The sequence below is a fragment of the Homo sapiens genome, chromosome 11, assembly GCF_000001405.40.
Source record: "Homo sapiens chromosome 11, GRCh38.p14 Primary Assembly".
Classification (NCBI taxonomy): Eukaryota; Metazoa; Chordata; class Mammalia; order Primates; family Hominidae; genus Homo; species Homo sapiens.
In genome coordinates this window covers 89,543,430-89,557,094 of record NC_000011.10, presented here as the reverse complement: position 1 = coordinate 89,557,094, position 13,665 = coordinate 89,543,430, and the positions used below count along the sequence as shown (strand labels likewise).

Genomic DNA, 13,665 nt, shown 5'->3' with positions numbered 1-13,665 from the left:
TTTAATCATTGTTAGCAGCATGAAAAACTGTTAAGTTAAATGTTCAGGCATAAGCAAGTCATTACTCCATATTTGAACTCTAGAGAGCTACTGGTTGTCATGGTAATATGACTGCACGTGTGAAGTTAGCATTGGCAACATCACATTTTCATTAAAACATCATGCATATTTGCATGAACTTCTGCCCAGACCATTGTTGCAGGATTGGCTCCTCCACCCCATCTCATAATGGTGCCAAGAGATTTCATATTTCAGATCCAAACTTGTTAGAGTTTACAGCATTCATTATTCATCCCTCAGAGATAGAAGTTGACCTGTATTCAAGGCTTAACATATATGAATAGAGAGCTCACTATATATCTCTATGGTTAATCCTACTAATTACCGTTCCCCTGAATTGAGGTAACCCTCCCATTTCTTTTAGTGAATAGTTTTAATTACTTTCTTTGACTTGCCTCTTCCCAAATTAGGGTATGTTTCTTCAAATAACTCCCCATGGATTTGTAGTGTTGCTATTACTCCTGAAGATGTAGGTTTCCCCCTCCCCTCCCCTCCCTTCCCCTCCCTTCCCCTTGATGGAGTTTCACCCTTTCACCCAGGCTGGAATGAAGTGGTGTGATCTCAGTTCACTGCAATCTCTGCCTCCCAGGTTCAAGCCATTCTCCTGCCTAAGCCTCCTGAGTAGCTGAGATTACAGGCACATGCCACCATGCCCAGCTAATTTTTGTATTTTTAGTAGAGATGAGGTTTCGCCATGTTGGCCAGGCTGGTCTCGAACTCCTGAGTTCAGGTAATCCACTCGCCTTGTGCTAGAATTTTTTTTCTCCTTATGCCTTCTTCCCAGAACCTCTATTATGTTTCCTTTGGTTTAGGGCTGTGATTATACTTATTTGCCCATATGATCATTTATTTATTCAATTAATAAATATTTATTATGGTTTACTATGTTGTAGGGTAGATGTTAGATCCCAAGTAAGCCAGGGCAACAATTAGTTGATTAGAGATGTAAGCTCTTGCTGTCTACCCTGTTCTTGGCCAAATTGTCTGTATTTCAATGCAGCAGATATCTTCACAAAGGTTTTTTTAGCACACAAACTGTTTGTTAAGTCCTATAAATTAGCAAACAATGCTAGTTTACTTTTTGTTTCCATGTCATTGTTTAAACATTCTTTTGTTGAGCTAAAGGTTTGAATGAATAAACCAACAATGAGGAAGTGCCAGAACAGTTCCTGTATATACCCTGCATATATTTATTTGCAGATTTTACTAGCTATTAAATATCATATAATACATATCGGCTCTCTCCTTTCTCTGCTTACACATACATGGTTCCTGATTGATCAATAATTTAAGTGTTGCATTTGGAGATTACTATAGGAGTTTCAAATGGTGTCCATGGTACTTCTGTTTGTGCCTCTGTTCATATTGCTCCTTACACTTAGCCTGCCTTTCCCGTCCCAAATTCCCACTGAAGACCTGGAGAAGGCCTCATCTTTCAAAATTCAATTCAAGTATCATTTCGTTTATGAAGTGTTATATAACAATAAGAGGATAAATTAATAACAGGATAAATAAAGAATAAGAAAGCACACTAAAAACTCTTTTTTTTTTGAAACAAATTCTTACTCTGTTGTCCAGGTAGAGTGTAGTGGTGCAATCATGGTTCATTGCAGCCTCAACATCCCGGGTTCAAGTGATCTTCCTGCTTTGGCCTGCCAATAACTGAGACTATAGGTGTTCACTACCACACCTGTCTAATTTTTGTGTGTGTGTGTGGAGATGAGGTCTTGCCATGTTGCCTAGGCTGGTCCTCAAATTCCTAGGCTCAAGCAATCCTCCTGCCTTGGCCTTCCAAAGTGTTAGGATTTACAATCCAGAGTCACTGCTCCCAGACTAAAAGCATTTTTTTTTTAACAACTCTGGAAGTGAATTCCAGCAGAACCAGCAAAAAGAATGGAATTAATTACCTCTGGGGAAAGTGCCTAAGGGTAAGGAGAACTGGGGCAGGAAACTATTATAAGTCTTGTACCACTATTAAGCTTCTAAAATCATGTACATGCCATTTTAATTTTTAAAAAGATAAATTTTTAAAACTCTATATGCTTACATTAAAAGTATACTAGTTATTCTGTAGTATTTCTCATCAAATTATTTTAATTTGGATTTTTTTTTCACTAAATTTAAATGGACAGCAGACCCAGATGAATAATAAAGCATAAAGTTTGATTTCAGTAAATTGATAACTTGATAACTTTGATCATTTGTGTATTTATGCCTTCTAATTACAGCCCTCTAAAAATACATCAGATTGGTTTTTAAAAATGTAATCTGTAAAAGCCTTTCTACCGATTGCTAACTAAATGTCAACATCTACCATGTACTCTTAGGAATCATTAAGAATACAACTGAGGGTCATAGATTTAGAAAGATATTTAATCCACCCTAAAGATGAGATACCGAATTAGGTAATATCTAGAAGTCTCTTGCATGCCTCCTTCCAAGATATTTATAACTATACCTGAATATCTATTTAGATACAGATATCTAAAATTCTGGGGATTGTTGGATCTAGGCAAGTTGCTTTTAAATGAATTATGTGAAAATAAAAGATCTCAGAATATCTGGGAATCTTCAGTAAGAGAAGAATAATGAGAAAGAATAGCATTCTAAAATATTAAAGCATATTATGCAGCTGAAATTTAAAAAATATTATTGGTTTATCAATGAATTTGATAGAGCTAGGATGGAATATAAAACTCAAAAATACATATGTGAAGGTAGTTTATGATAAATGTGGAATTTCAGATCATGGTGAAAAGAATTTTTCAATAGTGGTAGGACCACAGTTTTACAGCCATTTAGAAAAATAAATAAAATGCAATTTTAAAACGCTAGATCCATGTTTTATGAAAATAAGAGATTCCCCTCCCCCCCTTTTATTTTGAGCATTTACTTTAGAAAACTTGTAATTATACATACTTGATACTATTTCTGAAAAAAAAAATACATCCTTTTGAAACCTAGGAAAGACTTTTTTCAGCTTAATCATCCAGGAATATCTTTCTCAAGGACCTGGAAGCTGTCTCTTTGAAATGTAAACATCAAAGGAGTTAGTACCCTGCCTGCCAGTTTCCGTGAGCGGATAGGAGTCTAACTTGGGTAGGCACTTCCCTCCAAGTGGCAAAACTACCTCTTGTCATTAAAAAAAAAAAAAAAAAGATGTTTGTTTCTCTTCTAAGTAAAGCCAATTCCAGTTAGCTAAAATAAATGGTCACCCCAGTTATCTGGTAAAGATAAAATGGTGCTGTCAAGCCCTCTTACTCGAAGACTAGTTATTATTTATCTTGATAATATGTGTGTAATGGGCTGTATCTGCTTGGCTATATAAAATTTCTTTCTGTCTTTGCAATCTCTTTGTGGATTGCCTGTGATATGCTCACATTCTAGATTAATTCTTATTCAATAATGAATTTTTTTTTGTCTCTCTACTACTTTTATAGGAAAGATTTCTAGATTGAGAGATTATTTTATCACCAATATTGCTAATGCAGATTTCCTCTGCTGTAAATAGCCTTTGTATTAGTTTGTTTTCACACTGCTATAAAGAATACCTGAAACTGGGTAATTTATAAAGAAAAGAGGTTTAATTGACTCACAGTTCCACATGGCTGGGAAGGCCTCAGGAAACTTACGATAATAGCAGAAGGGGAAGCAAGACAGCAGGAGAGAGAGTGAGGCAGGGGAAACTGCCAGAAACTTATCAAACAACCAGATCCTGTGAGAAATCACTCACCATCATGAGAATGGCATGGGGAAACTGTCCCCACGATCCAATCACCTCCCACCAGGACAACCCCTACCCTGCCCTTGACATGTAGGGATTACAATTTGGATTACAGCTGGAGATGAGATTTGGGTGGGGACACAGCCAAACCATATCAGCCCTGTTTTTATATTGGTTCTCTTGTCTGTGTTGGAATTCTGACTAGGACCCTGTGTGGGGTAAAACACTGTGGGATAGAGATGGGGCAGGTTAACTAGCCTGGTTTTCTCTGGGGTGAGTGGCAGGAGGTATCTTTCAGCTGGGATTAAAACCAAGCACATTGCTTCAAGAATTTCTTACTGCTTGACTTGAATGAAAATGTTATTACTGATGATAATTTTGGGGCATAATCTCATGCCTAACTGGTATTGGAATAATAGTAAGATGTGTAATAAACACATGTGAGTCTTGAGAATTCCGCTCTGATTTTGACTCACAGTAAGTTACTTGATAAAGTTTGTCCTACAGTCTCACTACTTCTCAGCAAAATTCTTACTGTGTGATCAGATACTAAATTTCTTTCAGTTTATTCCCAGTAAATCTGATGGAATGTCTAGATTCTGCAGACTTTGATCCAAAGACTGAACTAAATCCAATGAACTCAAGAGAACAACTTTTAAGTAGTTATTAAGCTGATATTCTGTGTTCAGACCTGTGCCTGGGACTGAAAGAACATAAATAAATGTAACTGAGGAAGTGTTCTTTCTCTTTGATCTAGATGGTAACTTACCTAGGGGACAAATGGGAGTGGGCAGATCTGAAGAAAGGAAGAATCTGTTGTAATAGTCTAAATGTGAGGCAATGAATTATAAGGTTTCCATAATAGAGATGAAAAGAGACAGAAAGATAAACTACCAAAAGAATTAAAGGAGCTTGATAAGTTCCTCTGCAAAGGCTAAATTAAAATGAGACGTAAATGATCAATGATTGACACAAGATAGTACAGCAGATAAAAATATGGATTTCGGTGTCTATGAGAACTGAATTCAAGTCCCAGATCTGACATTGGAATTCAACAGTTACATGATTCTTCTCAGTTTCAGTTTCCTTTTGTGTAAAATATAACAAACAGTACTTCCTTCAGAAATGTATTATAAAGTTAGTGTTTTTAAAACTACAGGTTATGCCTTTTTCTTGAGAAATTAACTTTACAGTTTAATGAGGAACAGATAACATTTTAATAAGAAAGATCTGGAAAAGAAAAGTAGAATGCGTTACTCATGGTAAAAATAAGTATTTTTGTAACACTTTTTTATAGTGATTGTATATATGTGTGTGAGTGTGTGTGTGTAAGAGAATCATTGGATTAAAAATTAAAATAAAAATAATAGCTATTTATGACAAATCCACAGCCAATATCATACTGAATGGGCAAAAGCTGGAAGCATTCCTTTTGAAAATCATCACAAGACAAGGATGCCCTCTCTTACCACTTCTATTCAACATAGTATTGAAAGTTCTGGCCAGGGCAATCAGGCAAGAGAAAAAAAAATGGTATTCAAACAGGAAGAGAGGAAATCAAATTGTCTCTGTTTGCAGATGACATGATTGTATATTTAGAAAACCCCATCATCTCAGCCCCAAAACTCCTTAAGCTGATAAGCAACTTCAGCAAAGTCTCAGGACACAAATCAATGTGCAAAAATCACAAGCATTCTTATACACCAATGATAGAGAGCCAAATCATGTGTGAACTCCCATTCACAATTGCTACAAAGAGAACAAAATACCTAGGAATCCAACCTACAAGGGATGTGAAGGACCTCTTCAAGGAGAACTACAAACCACTGCTCAAGGAAATAAGAGAGGACACAAACAAATGGAAAAACATTTCATGCTCATGGATAGGAAGAATCAGTACTGTGAAAATGGCCATACTGCCCAAAGTAATTTATAGATTCAATGCTATCCCCATCAAGCTACCATTGACTTTCTTCACAGAATGAGAAAAAAACTACTTTAAATTTCATATGGAATCAAAAAAGAGCCCATATAGCCAAGACAATCCTAAGCAAAAAGAATGAAGTTGGAGGCATCACGCTACCTGTCTTCAAACTATACTACAAGGCTATAACTAAACTATACTACAAGTCACCAAAACAGAATGGTATGGGTACCAAAACAAATATATAGACCAATGGAACAGAAAGGAGGCCTCAGAAATAACACCACACATCTACAACCATCTGATCTTTGACAAACCTGACACCAACAAGCAATGGGGAAAGGATTCCCTATTTAATAAATGACTTTGGGAAAACTGGCTAGCCATATGCAGAAAACTGAAACTGGAGCCCTTCTTTATACCTTATACAAAAATTAACTCAAGATGGATTAAATACATAAACATAAGACCTAAAACCATAAAACCTGTAGAAGAGAACCTAGGCAATACCATGGGCATGGGCAAAGTCTTCATGACTAAAACACCAAAAGCAATGGCAACAAAAGCCAAAACTGACAAATGGGATCTAATTAAACTAAAGAGCTTCTGCACAGCAAAAGAAACTATCATCAGAGTGAACAGGCAACCCACAGATTGGGAGAAAAATTTTGCAATCTCTCCATCTGACAAAGGGTTAATATACACAGTCTACAAAGAACTTAAACAAATTTACAAGAAAAAAACAACCCCATCAAAAAGTGAGTGAAGGATATGAACACACACTTCTCAAAAGAAGACATTTATGTGGCCAAGAAACATATGAAAAAAAGCTCATCATCACTGGTAATTAGGGAAGTGCACATCAAAACCACAATGAGATAGGATCTCATGCCAGTTAGAATAGGTACCATTATGGCTTACACCTGTAATCCCAGCATTATGGGAAGCCAGGGTTGGCAGATCACCTGAGGTCAGGAGTTCAAGACCAACCTGGCCAACATGGTGAAAACCCATCTCTAATAAAAATACATAAATTAGCTGGACGTGGTGGCTGGTGCCTGTAATCCCAGCTACTCGAGAGGCTGAGGCAGGAGAATTGCTTGAACCCAGGAGGCAGAGGTTGCAGTGAGCCAAGATCATGCCACTGCACTACAGCCTGGGCAACAGAGCAAGACTCTGTCTCAAAAAAAAAAAAGACTAGCTATCATTAAAAAATCAGGAAACAACCGATACTGGCGAGGCTGTGGAGAAATAGGGACACTTTTACACTGTTGGTGGGAGTGTAAATTAGTTCCAGCATTGTGAAAGATGGTGTGGCGATTCCTCAAGGATCTAGAAAAAGAAATATCATTTGACCCAGCAATCCCATTACCGGGCATATACCCAAAGGATTATAAATCATTCTACTAAAAAGACACATACACACATATGTTTATTGCAGCACTATTCACAACAGCAAAGACTTGGAATGAATCCAAATGCCCATCAATGATAGACTGGATAAAGAAAATGTGGCACATATACACCATGGAATACTATGCAGCCGTAAAAAAGAATGAGTTCATGAGTTCATGTCTTTTGCAGGGGCATGGATGAAGCTGGAAACCATCAGTCTCTGCAAACTAACCCAGGAACAGAAAACCAAACACTGCATGTTCTGACTCATAAGTAGGAGTTGAATAGTGAGAACACATAGACACAGGGAGGGGAACATCACACACTGGGGCCTGTTTGGGGATGTGGGAAAAGGGGAGGGATAGTATTAAGAGAAATACCTACTGTAGATGACGGGTTGATGGGTGCAGCAAACCACCATGGCACATGTATACCTATGTAACAAACCTGCATGCCCTGCACATGTATCCCAGAACATAAAGTATAATAAAAAAATTAAAATGTACTTATTGTTATGGATTGTCTTTAAACAAGTTTGAAAAAGCAGCACTCTATAATACATAAAAAGTGTTTTATGTGATACTAACACATTTGAAGGAAACAAGACGTGTCACAAAAATCAAGGGAGGAGAGCTTCAAGGATGGGCTGATTAATGCTGTTAAATATAGTAGAGAACAAGGGGGATAAAATCTGAGAAAAGGTTGGTTTTAAGAATAATTAGCTTATAGAAAATTAAACGTGAATTTAGTCTGCAACTATTAGTAATAACACACAGTGACATTTTTTATAATGCTAAATGATAGTAAATAATCTAAAAAATCTAGTGAAAGAAAGAAATATGCAAGATGATTTCCACACAAGAATTACAATAAATAATGAAAAGCAGTTCTGGGCCTTTTGGTTTGCTCCCTGGAAGGAGATAAAATAGTTAATTAAAGTTTTATTGCTTTTGAAACATTCTCCAATTTAAGAAAAGGTTTGAGATTTGTTATATATGGTGCTTACATGGAACACATGAAACCTTTATGAGACTTTTTTCCCTGTTTGATAGGGAATGAAACTTTGGTTGAATTTCCAGTGGGATGGGGTGAGTCTGGAGATAAGCTTTATGGTTTCTCCTGCTGGTGTCTCCAGATAGCAAACACAGCAGCGGCTTCCAGTCTGTGGTGCAAAGAAAGAAATACTATTCTCTAGTGCAGATACCATTTCACCTATCTTTTTATAAAATACCAGATTTTGGTGAAGGTTCTTAAGATATTCAAATAATTATCTCCAAGTATCTGCTGGGTGGCATGGCAGGTGAAAGCAAGGAGAATTGAGACAAATAGATAGACAGGAAGTCAAATATCTCACTTCTTTTTACCCCATTAGAGGAAAGGCCTCACTGTCTAGGCCTCATTTTGAGGGTCCCAGTACACCTTCCTCATTCTCCAAGTTTCTGATCCCTTCTCCATACCCTGCAGTCTTTAGATCTTTTTTTGCTATCAAATGTCCACATGTCTCAGTCAGTCTAGATTACTACAACAAAGTATCATTGACTTAGTGTGTTGTAAATGATAGAAATTTATTTCTCACAGTTCTGGAAGTGGCAGTCCCATCAGGCTGCCAGCATTGCTGGCTTCTGGTGAGGGTTCTCATTCAGTTTGCAGATGACCAACTTCTCATGTATCCTCATGTGGTCGAAGCAGAGCTAGTTAGCATTCTGGTCTTTTCCTATAAAGACACTAATTCCATTAATGAGGGCTCAACTCTTATTACCTAATTACTTTCCAAAGACACCTCCTCCTAAATGCCATCGCACTGGGAGTAGGGCTTCCACATATGAATTTTAAGAAGACACAAACGTTCAGTCCATTGCACTGTATGTTTTCATTTTCTCTAGATCAGTCACTTTTTTCCTACAAAATTTATACATATTTAGTCTTCCTCCATCTCATCTAGTATCTCCTAAAATTATCAATTTTAATTAAATTTCCAAGGTTTTTCTTTTTTCTTTTTAGTTACTGTTGCTCTGCAGAAGAGTGGCCATGTCTCTTTGTTCATAACTCCTGTCATGTGGGGATAGAATGTGGTGAGAGGGTCCATAAATTATTGGGTCTATGCATAAAGTGCTCTAGGGAAATACTGGGGTTCTATTGCTGCATGATATAGCTATACGTTCCCAGCGCTGATTCTCAACCACAGCTATACTTTAGAATTACCTGAAAAGCTTTAAACAATACCTATCCTTAAACTCTTCTCAATTAAAGTAGAGCCTCTGAGTTTGGATCCTGAAAATCGTGTGTGTTGTGTTTATGAGCTGCTCAATTGATTCTACTGTGTGGCCAAGTTTGGCAACCACTGTCCCAGACAGTATTTCTTCTCAATCTTTAATGTTGTATTAATCACTTGAATATCATGTTAAAATGCAGATTAAATTCAGTAGATTTAGGGTGAGACATGAAATTGTGATTTCTAATAAGCCTCTATGAGAAGTAGATATTGTAGTTTCAGGGACTACACTTTGAAGAGCAAGGTCCTAGAATATTTAAAATTAATTATATCTCACCAGTTTATTGTCTTCTGAAATATGCTCTTTCCTACTCAAGCTTCAAGAAGGAGAAATTATTATTCCATGAGTATATTCTAGTTTTAGATGCTGACAAAGAGCATCTTGCCATGTCCGAAAATTTACTGTACCTCATTAATCTTTGCTTACTGTTGTTTATCAAGTAACTGATTCAATTAACTAAATTAATGGTATCAATTGTCCCCCCCCATGTGATTCTATGGCAATATATAGGGCATGAGGGACTCTGTATGTTAATTCTACAAGTAATTTGGTATAGTCAGTAGTAGGGGTCATTTGGGGAAAGGATGAGAGGAAAGGCTGCAGAGAGAAGGACAAGTTCATTAAATGACAATAATGTTGAACATTCATTGCACACTTACTGTTTTTCAGACACTTTGTTATGTGCTTTATATACATTATTTAATTTAATCCCCACACCAAGTCTACAAGAAGAAAATACTTATTAAAATGACAAATGAGCTTAGAAACTGCTATGGTTTGAACGTTTCCTCCAAAGTTTGTGTGTTGGAAACAATTCATTATGCAACTATGTTGAGAGGTGAGACCTTGAATAGGTGATTAGTTCATGAGGTCTCTGCCCTTGTAATTGGGTGAATGCTGTTATCATGGGAGTGGGTTAGTTGGCACAGGAGTGGGTTCCTTACAAAAAAATTACTTCCGCCTCTTTCCTCTCTCATGTGCATGCTTTGTTGCCTTTCTGCCTTCTGCCATGAGATGTTGCAGCAAGAAGACCCTCACCAGGTGCCAGCGTCTAGACATTGGATTTTCCAGCCTCCAGAACTGTGAGAAATTATTTTTTTCTTTATAAACTACCCAGTGCGTGGTATTATGTTATAGCAATGCAAAACAGACTAAGACAGAAACCATAAGAAACTGAAAAGTTTATATAAATGGATTCAGATCACATAGCTAATAAGTGGTAAGAGCCAAGCCTCTATCTCTCTCCTGAGTCCCAGCTCTTATCCTGCAACAAGCTTAAATGGGAAGTCAAAGACAGCTTTTAAACACAAAAGAAAGATGATCCAGCAGCATGAAGGATATAGGCAGGGTAAGAATGGAGGCTTAGATCCCACTTAGGATTCCTCCTCTAAGAGGCTGAAATTTCATAAGCTTATCAATATAATTTAAGAACTGGAAACATGTCTTTTTTTAATTACTATCACCAAACACAGTGCCTGGAATATAGTAGTTATAAATAGTTATTAAGTGAATAAATGATTGCTATTATAATTATGCAGAAGAGTAATTTTGAGAGCCTGAACTAAGGCAGTGACAGTGGGAACAGTGGTTGAAATGAAATAAAGAACTAGTTGAAAAGAAATTTTCAGTAGGTTAATAACTAATGTTACTTTTAACAGCCACAATGCTTAAAATGCAGAGAAATTTTTAAATATTTTTCAACTCAATGGACTAACTCTAATATTTACCACAGGAAGACCAAAAATGAAGTAATAGGCGTACAGGGGCTGATGGGTGTGCCATAAGTCATACAATGCAGGCAGACTCATTTTCCATATCAGACAGGTGCTGTACAGACTAAGGAATGTGGGGTCAAACTCCGAAGTCAGAGGACTGTCGTCAAGTCTCTTTTTCAGTAGTAGGTATATGACATTGGTTAAATCTGACACTCTGCTTTTTCATCATGACAATGGAATAATGCTGCAGGAAAGAGAGAAAATAATGATGGTGAGAGCTTTTTTTTTTTTTTTTTAAGCAGTACTTCTGCTATCCAAATTTGAGTATTTATCCAACTATTTTCAGTTCAGGGGCTACAATGCCTCAACCATATTTACATTTGAGGTATCTAAATGTAATTCTGGTGATGTATTGTCATCTGTAAATTTCTCTATTGTGACATTATTAATACTTACATTGAAGGTTATTAAAAACTTACTAAAGGTGTATTTGTAAAACCACTGAAAATTTACTTATATTTTTTGTGTATTGTAAGTTTTTTACAATGATCATATATTATTTTTATAATCTGCAGAGGTTAGAAATGTTATTTCGAAGGATTTTTATTTAGGAGTCATGGCCGAGAAAAAGGTTTCTAAATTAAAAACCAGAAAAGTCATTTTTACTGTTTTAACAGGTAGATTGTCAAGTTTAGACTCATAACACAGTCTTTCAAAGGTTTCTACTGGACAGAAACAGCCTCATTTTCACAATCGTAGTCAAAGCAGAAAAACATACACAGAACTAAATGCCTAGCATCTGATAAGATGACCTTTTGCTGAAAAATCATTTGGAACAGCACTTGTTCTGCAGTAACTGTCATGGTAAGTACAGACAGAAATGGGACAAAAAATGAAAGCTATTTTGGTTTCCTTCTATTCAACTTACAGACCACAACAGCAAGAGCACAAATTACTAGCTAATCTAAATATAAAAGTTCATGAGACTTTGCTAAATAAGTATCCTGTTACTCAAAGGAGACTGAGCATCTGGACTTGGTTATGGCTGCTACCGAGTTTTTTGTTTGTTTGTTTGTTGTTTGGTACATTCAGTAATTGGGTCGGGTCATAGGATATATATTTTCTTTAAGGGCAAATTTTAGGGTGTTATAAAATAATATGAGTTTTAAAAGTTTAAGGGCAATGTGGCTTTGAAATAAGGTACATGTGAATTGAAAATAAGACTGTAAATTTTTTTTGCTGTATGACATACAGCAAATTACTGAGCCACTCTCAGCCCAGCATGACCTTACTACAAAATTGGAAAAGTTACACGTAACTAACCGTGTTGTAAAGATGAAGAAAGACTCTAAGATTCATCTTTTCTAAAACTTCTTAGGTATTCAGTATACATTGCTTCAGTGCAGGAATCCTTAAAAGATGTCCATCTAGACTATGTTATTATTGTCAGTATGTTAAGATACAATGCTGCCTATACCACTTTTAAATGCCTCTTTTACTTCATGACTTTCACCTTCTTTTGCTAAAGCACTCTGAATCTCTGAGTCACTCGCCAGTGTTCAGTTCTGCCTTTATTTGATGCTGCACTTCAGAAGATGATTTAATTCTATTGTGGAGCAGGATAAAACTAAATAAAAGTGGTGGTACCTACCTTTACAGAGCTTAAAGTCTAGGAGGGAATGCAGGCAATAAATAAACACGTAAAATGGGAACAGAGATTAGGAAAATATAACCTAAACTAAAAAGCTAGAAATAGCCTCTTGGAGGAAAAAAACATTTAAGCAGAGATTTCAAGAAGAATGGAATAGGCTTAGCAGAGTAGAAACTTAACAAATATTGGTTGAAATGTATTGAGATAAATCAGACCAAATCATTGCCCATGCCTGAGCCTGAAATTTTACCAACACAGGGTTTAATATTATGAGTCTACAGTATTAGAAAAATGGCTTCTATTACTTCTATTTTTTCAGAATAATATATTTATATAGTTACAAAAAAGAGCACAGGATTACATAAATGAAAAGGAACAGGTTCCCCTTTTCTTTTCTTCCCCACTTTTACTCCCCAGCAATATACTTATAAGCATATCTAATTTTATTTCTTTCAGTGGTCACCTCGACTATTAATAAAATGTGTATAATTCTATTTCTTGATCTATCAAATTCAGACAATATCTATTTACTTTCCACAATGATCTATCAAATTCAGACAATATCTATTTACTTTCCACAATGACAATTGAGGAGTTAATGTTAGTTGACTTACACTATCTGTCATCCTCATACTTTTGCTGGTTTTGATGATTCTATTAGAACTATACTTCTTATATAAATTTATAATATACTAAATTTTTTGTTGCATCAATTTTAGACAGCGTCCTCGACTCCCTATTATGTAAAATGAAGATATTTGCATATTTATCATTCTATCACTTTTCCTCCTCACACCCTCCTTTAAAATTGTCAGGAATATATATTGCTTTTTTGTTTTGAGGGTAGAGAATACTTACATTTTTCTGTAGCTAAAATCCAGTCTTCTCTAATTCGTAGCCATGTTAAATCTGTAAATGAAAAA

General features: G+C 36.1%; 1 protein-coding gene across 1 annotated transcript in view; it reads left to right on the top strand.

Annotated features, from left to right (window-relative positions):
* The window catches only part of NOX4 (NADPH oxidase 4), a 265,205-nt gene that overhangs the window by 32,463 nt on the left and 219,077 nt on the right, over positions 1-13,665 (top strand). The window contains exon 2 of the mRNA NM_001143837.2: positions 10,400-10,458. The gene's annotated coding sequence lies outside the window, so the exon portion shown is untranslated. The remainder of the gene's footprint in view (positions 1-10,399; positions 10,459-13,665) is intronic.